This window comes from Homo sapiens, chromosome 7 (assembly GCF_000001405.40).
Source record: "Homo sapiens chromosome 7, GRCh38.p14 Primary Assembly".
NCBI lineage: Eukaryota > Metazoa > Chordata > Mammalia > Primates > Hominidae > Homo > Homo sapiens.
The window spans coordinates 56,779,208-56,792,987 of NC_000007.14; the positions used below are offsets into that span (position 1 = coordinate 56,779,208).

Consider the following 13,780-nt stretch of genomic DNA (forward strand, 5'->3'; position numbering starts at 1 on the left):
TATTATCAGTGTTTACAAGACTACATGGTTTACAGGAACACCTGGTTTTGCACTTTTTATGGACAACCTCTAGATTCTGGTTCTTTCCCAACCCAGTTGAGTACGTTACATTCAAATAGACCACTTGCTATTCTTCTCAAATGACCACAGTTTGCTACCCTTTCAAGTTCTTTCTAATGATTGAGGAAATAAACTCCGCTTAAATTCCCGTATCTGTGTGGTGCATTAGCTAGCACCACACCTCAGGCCCAATTCTCCCGTCTCTATATGCAGCAGGTCCACATGAAAAGGCCTCCCTCAGAAAGAGCTACCCTAACCTGGGACAGATTCAAACAAACTCCTTTCCCTCCCCCTCCCTTCAGGTGCCCAGATCCCCTTTCTTCTTTCTCCCTAGGCTAATCTGCTAAGTCTCTGGATAGCTCACTCCACTGCCTATCTGTTTGTTAACTGGGTGTGACAAACCACGTCCTCACACCTTCAGGCTTAGAAGGCAAACACTCCAGGAACTTACTTCTCAAATACCACAATACCTTCACAGTAATTTCCCTGCCTTTCCCAAGAGTGCTCTAAACAGATAAAAGCTATAATACAAACTCTATATATTTTTGTCGTACAGATACAAAAAATGGCACCATTGTTTGCATATTTTAAAAATCTGGTTGATATGGTTATCATTCTATCAATATTAGATCTAAATGGAATTTAAAGTAGTGGTAAAAGGCTGGGTGTGGTGGCTCACACCTATAATCTCAGCACTTTGGGAGGTGAAGGTGGGAGGATTGCTTGAGGTCAGGAGTTTGAGACCAGCCCAGACAACAAAGTGAGACCTTGTCACTATGAAAAATAGAAAAAATTAGCCAGGCATGGTGGTGTGCACCTGTAGACCCAGCTACTCAGGAAGCTGAGGTGAGAGGATCACTTGACCCAGGGAGGTTGAGGCTGCAGTGAGCCGTGACTGCACCACTGCACTCAGCCTGGGTAGACAGCGTGAGCCAATGTCTCAAAAAAATGAAAGAAAGAAAAGGAAAGGAAGGAGAAAGAAAAGAAAAAAAGAAAGGAGGGAGGGAGGGAGGGAAGGAAAAGAAAGGAAGAGAAGAAAGAAAGGAGGGAGGGAGGGAAAGAAAGAAAAAAGAAGAGAAGAAAGGAAGACAGAAAGAGCGGTGGTAAAGAGCTTGGACTCTTGAGCCAGACTGCCTGGGTTAGAATCAGGCCTCTGCCACTGTACTACCTGGATCAAGTGTTAGTCTGCGTTGCTCAGTTTTCTCATGTGTAAAATGGTGATAAAAGCTACCTGCCTCATGGGACTGTTGTGAGACTTCAATAATATATGTAAAACATTTAGAACACTGCCTAGCACATAGTAAGCATTATCTGTAAGTATTAACATTTATCTCTACTACAGTCCGGATTCACTTCCTTGTGATATTTCTCTATTCCTCTTGGACTTTTTTCAGTTCAACCTGCTTCTGAAATTTCCATACCAAGAAACAATGATAATGTTAAGAATTTTATTTCTGAAATTCATCTTGGTTAGTCAAAATTACTAGAAGAAACTCTCTTTTATGTACTAGCAGTTATTAACATTTCACTAAATATGAATACAAGCATTTAAAGTATGGGAGTAATGGAACAAATGCCAAGCAAAAAGCAGGCTATCAATCAGGATGCATATGTGATACTCCCATGTTAAAAAAAAGGGAGGAATCATATGGTCATATGGATGTTTGTCTATGCGTCAAATGGCTCTGAAAAGTTTCAAAGCGGTCTACTGAGAGGGAGAACTGTCTGGTGGAAGGGATATGAAGGAAACTTCACTGTACATGCTTTGTTATCTTTCAAATCTGAAGCAGCAAACGTGTTATCTAGACAAGAATTTAAATTTTTTTTTTTTTTTTTGAGATGGAGTCTCAGTCTGTCACCCAGGCTAGAGTGCAGTTGCGCGATCTTGGCTCACAGCAACCTCTGCCTCCCGGGTTCAAGCGATTCTCCTGCCTCAACCTCCTGAGTAGCTGGGACTACAGGCATGTGCCACCACACCCAGCTAACTTTTTTTGTATTTTTAGTAGAGTTGTTTCACCATGTTAGCCAGGATGGTCTTGATCTCCCGACCTCATGATCCACCGGCCTTGGCCTCCCAAAGTGCTGAGATTACAGGCGTGAGCCACCGCATCCAGCCAAGAATTTAATTTTTAAAATGGGGCTGCAAAAAGGGACTCTAAATAAGTACTCTGGAAGCCAGGTGTCAAGTCTCAGTTTACTACTAGCTGTGTTATCTTGGGCAAGTCACTTAACCTCTGAATCTCAGACAAAGCAAGGAGCAATAAATACTTCTAGGTTCTTTTTTTTTTTTTTTTTGGAGACGAGTTTTCTCTTGTTGTCCAGGCTGGAGCCCAATGGCGCAATCTTGGCTAACCGCTGCCTCTGCCTCCCGTGTTCAAGTGATCTTCCTGCCTCAGCTTCCTGAGTAGCTGGGATTACAGGTGCCTGCCACCATACCCGGCAATTTTATTTTTATTTTTTTTGGAAGACAGAGTTTTGCTCTTGTTGCCCAGGCTAGAGTGGAGCGGCGTGATCTCAGCTCACTGTAACCTCTGTGTCCTGGATTCAAGCGATTCTCCTGCTTCAGCCTCCCGAGTAGCTGGGATTACAGGCACTCACCACCACACCCAGCTAATTTTTTGCATTTTTAGTAGCGAGGGGGTTTCACCATGTTGGCCAGGCTGGTCTGGAACTCCTGAACTTAAGTGATCCACCCACCTCAGCCTCCCAAAGTGCTGGGATTACAGGCGTGAACCACCATGTCCGGCCCTAGGTTCTATTCTAATTCTAAAAGTTTCATTATCTCAGAGGGGTAGTAAATAGATTGTACTTTTTTTTAAGATATGGGGGAGGTAGTAATCCAACATTTTGATATGGGGGAGGTAGTAATCCAACATTTTGTAAAACACGGCAACTTTTTTGTGGACTTGATTTTCTTCTTTTTTTTTTTTGAGACGGAGTCTCACTCTGTCGCCCAGGCTGGAGTGCAGTGGTGCGATCCCAGCTCACTGCAAGCTTCGTCTCCTGGTTTCACACCATTCTCCTGCCTCAGCCTCCCTAGTAGCTGGGAGTACAGGCATCTGCCACCACGCCTGGCTAATTTTTTTGTATTTCTTTTTTTTTAGTACAGATGGTGTTTTGCCATGTTAGCCAGGATAGTCTTGATCTCCTGACCTCAGGTAATCCACCCGCCTCGGACTCCCAAAGTGCTGGGATTGCAGGTGTGAGCCACCGTGCCCGACCGTGGACTTGATTTTCAAATGCAGTGGACCCTTGAACAACACAGGTTTAAGCTGCGTGGGCCCACTTATATGTGGATCTTTTTCAACCAAATGCAGACCGAAACCTGCATATATGGAGGCCCAACTTTTCATATATCCAGGTTTTGCAGGGCCCACGGTGGGGACTTGACTATGCCAGGATTTTGGTAGAAATAGGGGTCCTGGAACAAATCCCCTATGGTATATGTCCTATACATATGTCCTATACATATACCATAAGACAACCAGACTATTTTTACAGTTTTAAGAAACATAGATTTGTCAAGCCTATTAGCCTATCCAGATCATTTGTACTATTCTTACATAGAAACCCTTCTTAGAGGGGGTCTAATATATAGGAAATACTTACATAGAATATTCTGCATGTTAGGGCTGGGCACAGTGGCTGACGCCTATAATCTCAGCACTTTGGGAGGCTGAGGCGGGCGAAATCACCTGAGGTCGGGAGTTCAAGACCAGCCTGGCCAACATGGCGAGACCCTGTCTCTACTAAAAATACAAAAGTTAACCAGGCATGGTGGCGTGCGCCTGTAATCCCAGCTATTCAGGAGGTTGAGGTAGGAGAATCGCTTGAACCCAGGAGGCGGAGGTTGCAGTGAGCTGTGATCGTGCCACTGCACTCTACCCTGGGTGACAGAGCAAGACTTCATCTCAAAAAAAAAAAAAATTCTGCATATTAGTTTATCTTGCACAACTTCAAAATTGTTTTAAATGAACACGTCTTTAGGTCAGCAATAAACTACATTAAAACAATATTCAAATATATACACAAGTATATACAAGAAACTTATACTTAAAGGCACTTGTTATCAAACACTGAAAAAAATAAGAACATCTCCAATCAATGGTAACAGCTATAACTGAGGACAGACTTTATTTCTGGAACATACATGTATCACTTTTCATCTTAACACTCATCTAGCAAAGTAGGGTTTTTTGGTTTATTTGTTTGTTTTTTGAGACAGGGTCTCTCTCTACCACCCAGGCTGGAGGGCAGTGGCACCATCATGGCTCACTGTGGACCTCAGCCTCCCAGGCTTAAGTGATCCTCACACCTCAGCCTCCCAAGAACCTGGAAATACAGGCAGGCACCACCATGCCCAGTTAACTTTTGTATTTTTTGTAGAGACAGGGTTTTGCCCTGTTGCCCAGGCTAGTCTGAAACCTAAGCTCAAGAGATCTGCCAGGTGTCAGACTCCCAAAGTGCTGAGATTACAGGTGTGAGCCACTGCACCAGGCTCTAAGTAGGTGTTAAAATCTCTATTTAACATAAGAAACTAAGGCATCATGAAGATAAGGCCACAAGCTAAGAACTCAGAGGGCTGGAAGCCCACACAGATTCCTTAAATTTGAGTTCAGTGTACCAAACCAAGGGGGCAGGGAGTGCTAACTTAATGTTAGCTGGCAGGCTGGTGCAGGTTTGTAGCAGAGTTTTCACTGATTTTTGGGAAAATGGGGAATAGTAAGAACATGAAAGTAAACTTTTTTTTTTTTTTTTTTTTTTGAGACGGAGTCTCGCTCTGTTACCCAGGCTGGCATGCAATGGTGCGAGCTTAATGCAACCTTCGCCTCCCGGGTTCAAGCGATTCTCCTGCCTCAGCCTCCAGAGTAGCTGGGATTACAGGTGTATGCCACCACACCCAGCTAATTTTGTATTTTTACTAGAGACGGGGTTTCAGCATGTTGGCCAGGCTGGTCTGAAAGTAAACTTCCACATAGCTAATTGATTCCATTTAAAGATCTTTTATTCTAAGAGATTCTGTTCTTTCAAATTGTTTGAATGGAAATATCCTTTTGTTAAATGAAATGATGGTGATAGGAGATAGTGGTGTGTTACTGTTTTTATTGGCTGTACCTGGTAGAAGTAAAAAATCAGCATTTCTATTGTAGCCTCCTAACTGGGGGGAAATATTTCTTTAGAAATCTAAAAGTCTGGAACTTTCCATCATTATGCCTCCCCAGAATAATAGAGGACTTTACACACAGATTACACATGCCCCTCAAGATTCTCTCATTAATCTCTACCTTATTCTGTTTGGATTAAGACATTTAGGGATTGTGAAATGAGAATAAAGTGAATTTAAGCAATCCAAAACCACATGCTGACTCTGGGTCCTCGAAGATTGCTTTCTTCAGAATCTTTTTCATGTGTTAACTTTCCTCTGGGCTCAAACTTTCTTTTCCTAAAACAGTCACATCTTTGAGTATTACTGCTACATGGCAATCACTATCAAAATAAACTAACTTGAGGCATCCAATAATCAGCTTTCATTTAAAGTCTCTTTCAGCTTGACAAAACAAAAACTTTCAATGATGTTGTGTCTACCACTTCCAAAAGAAAATTAGTCTATATCCGTACATATATATGTGATTATATATGTATACGTACATATGTGATATTGAATAGCCTGTTTATAAACTACTTGCAAAACAAGCTGATTTGTAAATTCATTTATTAAATGAGTAGTTTATAAACTACTTGATTTTTGCAAGTAGTTTATAAACAGGCTGATCAAACTGAACAAATGTCTTAATTTCACTGTATAGATAGCAAATAAATTATTTACTCTTATTGGCATATCTTATTTTTACCCACCCTCCTTTTGCAAGCTTCTAAGTTAAACTATTTTATGTCCACAGCTACACAATGAAACATCACTTTCAGTCACAACATATTAAATTCACATTTAAAACTATAAAGAGATCCAGTTACCTTTAGTCTTACATGTACTTATATATATTTTTAATATACTACTTGATGTTTTATGGTGCAAAAACACGCAGCTCTTGCAGGATGCATAACTATGAAAATATTTAGAGTGTATGCTTATTAAATGGTTCAAAACTCTCTTTTTAAAAGAAAAGTCCATTTTTTTTTATTTTTTGAGATGGAGTCTCACTCTTGTCGCCTAGGCTGGAGTGCAATGGTGCAATCTTGGCTCACTGCAACCTCTGCCTCCTGGGTTCAAGCAATTCTCCTGCCTCAGCCTCCCGAGTAGCTGGGGCTACAGGCATGTGCCACCATGCCCGGCTAATTTTTGTATTTTTAGTAGAGATGGGTTTCACCATGTTGGCAAGGCTGGTCTCGAACTCCTGACCTCGGTTGATCTGCCCGCCTCAGCCTCCCAAAGTGCTGGCCTCCCAAAGTGCTGGGATTGCGGTGTGAGCCACCGCGCCCGGCCAAGAAAAGTCAGTTTTAAGAACTTAAGCAGGCCGTGCTCAGTGGTTCACGGCTGTAATCCCAGCACTTTGGGAGGCCGAGGCAGGCAGATCAACCGAGGTCAGGAGTTTGAGACCAGCCTGGCCAACATGGAGAAACCCCGTCTCTACTAAAAATACAAAAATTAGTCGGGCTTGATGGTGGGAGTCTGTAATCCCAGCTACTCCGGAGGCTGAGGCAGGAGAATCACTTGAATCCTGAAGGCAGAGGTTGCAGCGAGCCAAGATCGCGCCATTGCACTCCAGCCTGGGTGACAAAAGCAAGACTCCATCTCAAAAAATAAAACAACTTAAGCATATAGTGAAGTACTCTTTCCATGCCCCAATGTTAAAAGGTCCATCTATTATAGACTACTTGTTTCAAATAAAAATCTAAAACTGGTAATAATTCTGCTTAAATTCCATATTAAACTAGGATCAAAAGTTATTTTTAGTTCCTCTTGTTTCTTAAATACTTGAAAAGTGCTGCTACATGTTTTCCTTATATATTTATTCATTCAACTAACTTTGGGTGGAAGGTACTTGCAAGTTTAAAAGTCCTTTCCAAAAGTGGAAATAACATAAAAATGTTTGCATAAAAGACACTCAATGGTTCTCAAAGTGTATCTGAGAGTCTAATCAGCCTATTAACTTTGTTCTGAATAACCAACAACAAATGTGAGCTTTTTGTCACATCTATGTATTTTCCCCTGTAAACTGATACCTACATTTTAAATGCATTTTTAAAATGTTCCATTTGGCCCTATGATAATTATTTCTCCTGTAAAAAGCTACAGGATTTTTGTTTAAGAGCAAATGAGATAGAGTATCTGATCCATGAAAAAGGCTAAGTGGAAAGATCAGCTCCCTAAAGTTTGTAACCAATAACAAGACAAATTCCAATGCTACTTGTTCATATAATCAACAATATGTGAGTCGAAATAAACTAGTGAGCTATATATTTCTGATACATACAAATTTACCAATCAACAGGAGAGGAAGAAATCGCTCAAATGTGACTACTGTTAACAAACATCTAAATATCAGACATAGTCTCTATCAAAATCGTAACCTATCAATTTTGAAATCATTCCTTCGACTTTTGTTATGCTTTTAATCCCCCCATTAAAGAAAGAAAGAAAACACGCATCCACTTTTAAAATGTAAATTCTCCCTTTCTCAAAGTAAGTTGCCTAGGGAAATTCAATGCATTAAAATAAAACGTAACAGACAAATCAATTACAACATTAAAAAAAAAACTAAAATGATCAGTAACACAAACCAATCACTCCAGTTTAGCAAAGCATGTGTTTTTAATCTGTTGTGGGTATCGTATTATGCTAATAAGCAACAATGTCTAAAACTCATCCCAATGCCTATAACACCGCCATCTACATAACATACTTGTCCTTTACTCCAATGAAGCTTAAACTAGACTCGAACTCAGACCATTTCCCCCTCCTGGCACACAGAAATATACGAGGGGGAATCCAAGAAATCAGATATGTTAAGTGCCGGTATCTTCTTCCAAAGTAGGGTCAAATTCGTGTTTGCCCGCAAATGTCACCGTCCTAGTAAGTCTGCAAATTCTCACTAGCGCTGGAGTACAAAGAGGCCTGACCACGGAAACACCTGTCCTAGCACCAGGAAGACAGTGGGAAATATAACCCTCCCTGGGTCTGAGCCCGCCCCAAAGACTCAGCAGCAGCGATGGTGGGGACAAGAGGCGGCCGCTGGTCTCGCGGGTGCTGCGGACAGGGTCCCACACCCCCGGACCGCCTCCCGAGAACGAGGAAACCTGTCAAGCCGGCCGGGACCCACACTCCACAGCCCCCTCGCGCTCCTGCCCAGCCCAGCCCCAGCGCGCCCGACCGCTCCCCATCTGCCCCAGCCTCCGGGCTGCACTCGGCCACCTCATTCTTCCCCGGCGACCTCGCGGCCCCGCCACCTCCTCCCCGCGACCTGGGCTCGGGTTGCCCCCGGGCAGGAGCGCCCGACCGCCGCCTCCCGCCCAGCCCCGACCCAGTCAGTTCCCCCGCGGCCCGGTCCCCTCCGCCTCCAGGCCCGAGCTCCCACCGCGCGCTCCCCAGCCCCAGCTAATATTATAAGCTAATATAATCAGGACGAAGAAAATGAAAAGTCAGAATAAAATGAAAGGCCAGGAATAAGAACACAGATAAGCAGGCCATAGGGACTTACACAATTATGAAAATTGTGTCATAAATTTGGCTGTGAGCTTCCTGGTGGCCAAAACTAAAAGGAAAACAGATGTATGTGCTTTTCTCACTGTCTTTAAGAAGAAACACAGTGTTCTTGGGGATTTTCAGTGTTTCCCTGGTTGCAGCTTCCATTTTTTCAGGGGCTTTATATAGTGATGTTGAGTAATAAGCAATATCCTTGTATTCGTTATCTATTGTTGGGTAAAAATCGCCCCAAATTCAGCAGCTTTATAAACAATAAACTTTTTTTTCCTCACAGTTTCCATGGGCTAGGAATCTGGGTGAGGTTAGCTGTGTCCTCTGGCTCAGGCTCTCACGAGGATACAATCAGGCTGTCAGCCAGGGCTGCAGCTCTCTCAAGGCTTCAGAATCCTCTTTGAAACTCACTTCGACGGCTGCTGGCAGGCCTCAGGTCCTCTCTGGCTGTGGGCTGGAGACATCAGTTCTTGTCCACTTGCACCTCTTCATAAGAAGCAGCTGGCTTACCCCAGGGCTAGGGAGGGGAAAGAGGAAGAGACAGAAAAAGAAAATGAGAGACAGTTTCACAGTCCTTTTTGAAACCTAATCCCAGAAGTGACATCCCAAGATAAATAAGTATAATACATATTAAGTTATATGGTGGTAAATGCTAAGAAAATAATCAAAATTCTCCATGTGGTATTAGTTCATAGCACAGAAGTTAAGAGCTTGGGTCCAGGAGGTAGACTTGGAGTTTGAATTCTAGTTCTCTGACTTATTACCCATGTGATTTCGGGCCAGGCTATATTGCCTCTCCAAGCCTCAGTTTCCTTATTTCATTATTGTCAGTACAGAGAAAATGCTCATTTTTATAAACCTGGAGGAGTGGACCAGTAAACATCATTTGTACAGACAGGACCTGCTGACCCACCAGGCAAAAAAGAGGCCCCCACTGAGCAAGTCTACCTGCCAGATGCTATGTCATATTTAAACTTCATGAGATCTGGCCAGGCACAGTAACTCATGCCTGTAAATCCCTGTAGATCAAGGTGGGAGGATTGCTTGAGGCCGGGAGTTCAAGGCTGCAGTGAGCCATGATTGTGCCACTGCACTCCAGCCTGGGCAACAGGGTGAGACCCTGTCTCCACAAATAAATAAACATCTTATGATCTGTACCAGGGTACAGGCAGGTGTTATTATCCCCACTTTTCATCCTCAACTCTGAGTTGAGTCATACATCAACTCTGATGACCTTTGCTTCCACTCCCCTTAAGCCATCCACAGGAATAGCTACTTTACATAGAAAAGTCAATCTGAGAGGGTTGAGTGACTTGCCCAATTACTGTAAAAGGTAGAGCTTCAGTTAGCACCAAAGCCCATCTGATGCTAGTATTCCCTCTCCACCCATCCACGTGGCTTCCTGGTACTTATTTTAATTTTTTTTTTTTTGAGGTGGAGTTTCACTCTTGTTGTCCAGACTCAAGTGCAATGGTGCTGTGGCTCACTGCAACCTCCATGTCCTGGGTTCAAGCGATTCTCCTGCCTTAGGCACCCGAGTAGCTGGGATTACAGGTGCCTGCCACCATGTCCAGCTAATTTTTTTTTTTTTTTGAGATGGAGTCTTGCTCTGTTGCCCAGACTAGAGTGCAGTGGTCCAATATTGGCTCACTGCAACATCCATCTCCTGCTTTCAAGCAATTCTTCTACCTCAGCCTGCCGAGTAGCTGGGATTGCAGGCGCCCGCCACCACACCCAGCTAATTTTTGCATTTTCAGTAAAGACAGGGTTTCACCATGTTAGCCAGGCTGGTCTCGAACTCCTGACCTCAGGCAATCCACCCACCTCAGCCTCCCAAAAGTGCTGGGATTACAGGCGCTAGCCACGGCGCTGGGCCCATTTTTTGTATTTTTAGTAGAGATGGGGTTTCACCATGTTGACCAGACTGGTCTTGAGCTCCTGACCTCAGATGATCCACCCACCTCGGCCTCCCAAAGTCCTGGGATTACAGGCATGAGCCACCGTGCCTGGCCTTGGCTTCCCTTTAATAAATCACCACTCAATTTGATGTGGAGGCTCTGTTCTTTCCCAGAATATAATGAATGGAATATTTCCCAACCCACTTCCTCTGTTTTATCAGTGTAATCAAGGGCTAGGGTGTTCCCTTCTTCTTGCCTCAAGGTGAAACAGAGGGGGCTCCCCTGTGCTCTGTAGCAGGCTAGACCTAGGCTTAAATCCTAAAGTGTGCAGAGACTCCGCTGCACACTGCCATCCCAAGGCCCCTGTGATGTGTCTCAACTGGGGTCCTCTCCCTCCAAGCTCTGTGAACCTCAGTGCTGGGACCCTGAAAATAATTTAAGACAGGCATAAACAAGACCCTGGCTGCCAACCTAAACTTAGTCTCAGAGCTCAGGTACATTCAGGAACCCTGAAGCCCATGACTTCTCACACCCCTGCCATCCTATTCTTAGTTGTCTAAAATAATTTAAACATTTTATTTATTTTAATTTTTTATTTGTTTTTTTGAGACAGAGTCCTGCTCTGTCACCCAGGCTGGAGTGCAGTGGCATGATTTCGGCTCACTGCAACCTCTGTCTCCTGGGTTCAAGTGATTCTCCTGCCTTAGCCTCCTGAGTAGCTGGGATTACAGATGCCTGCCACCATGCCTGGCTAATTTTTGTATTTTTAGTAGAGACAGGGTTTTACCATGTTGCCCAGGCTGGTCTCGAACTCCTGACCTCAGGTGATCCGGCCTCCCAAAGTGCTGGGATTAAAGGTGTGAGCCACCACACCTGGCTGAGACTATATTTTTTTAATTAAAAAATGTTTTTTGAGGCCAGGCACAGTGGCTCATGCCTGTAATCCCAGTACTTGGGGATGCTGAGGCAGGCAGATTATTTGAGGGCAGGAGTTTGAAACCAGCCTAACCAACATAGTTAAATCCGGTCTCTACTAAAAATACAAAAATTAGCGGGATATGGCGGTGGGTGCTTGTAATCCCAGCTACTCATGAGGCTGAGGCAGGAGTATCACTTGAGCCTGAGAGGCGGAGGTTGCAGTGAGCAGAGATCACACCACAGCACGATCATAGCTCACTGCTGCCTCAGATTCCTGGGCTCCAGCCATCTGCCTGCCTCAGCCTCCTGAGTAGCTGAGATTACACGCATGCACCACCACACCCAGTGTGAGAAACAAATGCACCCGTCCAAACCCAAAGAATGGACTCAGACAGAGCACAGAGAAAGTGAGACTTTTAATGATGGTCTTGCAGGATCGGGTGTCTGGCACCAGGCACACATAGCACAGTTTCAACAAGCAATGTATCCCTTCGTCTGCAGGTACCTCCCCTGGTTCCTCATAGGCTGAGTACTATGGGGTCACAATCTTCCTGGATGTTGCCTATTGGTTGTTGGGTAGGGGCTGTAGGTGTTTTCTTTAGGGTTGTTAGAAATACCAGAATTGTTAGAAATATATAATTGGTGCCATGAAGTAAAGTCAGCATGAAGACAAAAGATCTCTCAGCAAGGCAATCTTTACTTTCTGCGGAAAGGGTGCTCAATCACAGATGGAACAATGGCAAGAGCACACCTGAGCAAAGGAAAAGCAGATCTATTTACCCTTATGCATTTGGGTCGTCCTTACTGCTTTGTCCTGCATCCGCTGGCTGGAGTTGAACCTCACAATCTTAAACTGATACCCGATTTGCTAATAGCCTAAAACTTCCCTAAATAGGTAAGTGCAGGGAAGAACAAAGAAAGAGAGGAAGTTGCTTATGAAAGGCTTAAGGAAGTAATAACATTTCCAAATAAGGAAGGGAAATAAACTATGAGCTAAGACTTGCCTGGGCCTGTCCAGACATGCCTGAGTAAGCCAAGCAACTCAATGGGCTAAAGTGTAAGAACTAATAGTTGATAGGAGGCTTTAGAGTAAGGAGCTATTATTCCTGGTGTCTATTATTTTATGTTTAAACCAAGATGAGCTTTGAAGAGGAACTTTTCTACTTCCTACAGTTGTCCTGCTGCATTTTGTTGCAGCCCACAATGCATTGCAATCCTAGTTAGCTTAGAGCCTCTTCAAGTATTTGACTTATGACCCAAGTAGCTAGGCAGGCTGATAAGAACAGACAAAACCAGCTATTTTGTGGGCTAGTAAAGTTTCATCTTAGACTAAACTTCTTTGGTTCAGGTGGGGGCAACGAAAAAGGTGGGGGTGGTGACAAGCAGGCATTGAGTGTCCAAGCAGAAACCTAGTATGTACTGTTTCTTTTGTAGTTTGCTGGCCTAACCTGATTTAAGCCACTTTGTCTTGGAAATGGACCACTGTATACATTATTTCCTTCACCCAGCTAATTTTAAATTTTTTTTGTAGAGATGAGGTCTCATTCTGTTGCCCGCTGGTCTTGAACTCTTGGCCTCAAGTGATCCTCCTGCCTCAGCCTCCCAAAGTGCTTGGATTACAGACATGAGCTACCTGTTCAGTCATCTTTGTTTAAAAAAGAGAGTTTGGAGGACTCCAACTAGGAACTATTGGAGGAATCTTGGCCAGATATGATTATAGCTGGGTTGAAACAATGAAAACAAAACAATGAAACAAGATAAAAAGGAGGAAGACGGGGAAAGGCTGGGAAGGTTACAACCAACAGGACTTGCAAGTAAGCAGATCTGGTGGCAAAGGTCAGGGAAAACCAAAGACTTCCAGGTCACCAGGTGACAAGGCCAGATACGGCATATGGTAGTGCCGGCAGATGGAGGGGGAGTGCATACCACCACACAGTTGGCCCACACACTCTGGCTGCAAAGGGCCAGGGACCACATGGTCTTTAGCTTGCTGCCTGAATTTGGACAACTCACTCCCTCTCACTCCGTGTCTTCACATTTCCAAAATGAATCTAAAACAAACCCTTCACCAGCTTATTTTGTTTCTGTTTTGTTATTTTCTGAGATGGAGTCTTGCTCTATTGCCCAGGCTGGAGTGCGGTGGTGCGATCTTGGCTCACTGCAACCTCCGACTCCAGGGTTCCTGCCATTCTCCTGCCTCAGCCTCCCAAGCAGCTGGGATTACAGGTGCCGACCACCATGCCTGGCTAAT

At 44.0% G+C, this 13,780-nt stretch overlaps 1 annotated feature.

Annotated features, from left to right (window-relative positions):
* Window positions 12,289-13,488: an enhancer, noted in NCBI's record as "MED14-independent group 3 enhancer chr7:56859189-56860388 (GRCh37/hg19 assembly coordinates)". NCBI's record gives its function as "activates an origin of replication core promoter dependent on BRD2, BRD4, P300/CBP and CDK7 cofactors, and independent of MED14, by STARR-seq in HCT116 cells {active_cell/tissue: HCT116}" and the evidence as "EXISTENCE:reporter gene assay evidence [ECO:0000049][PMID:35650434]".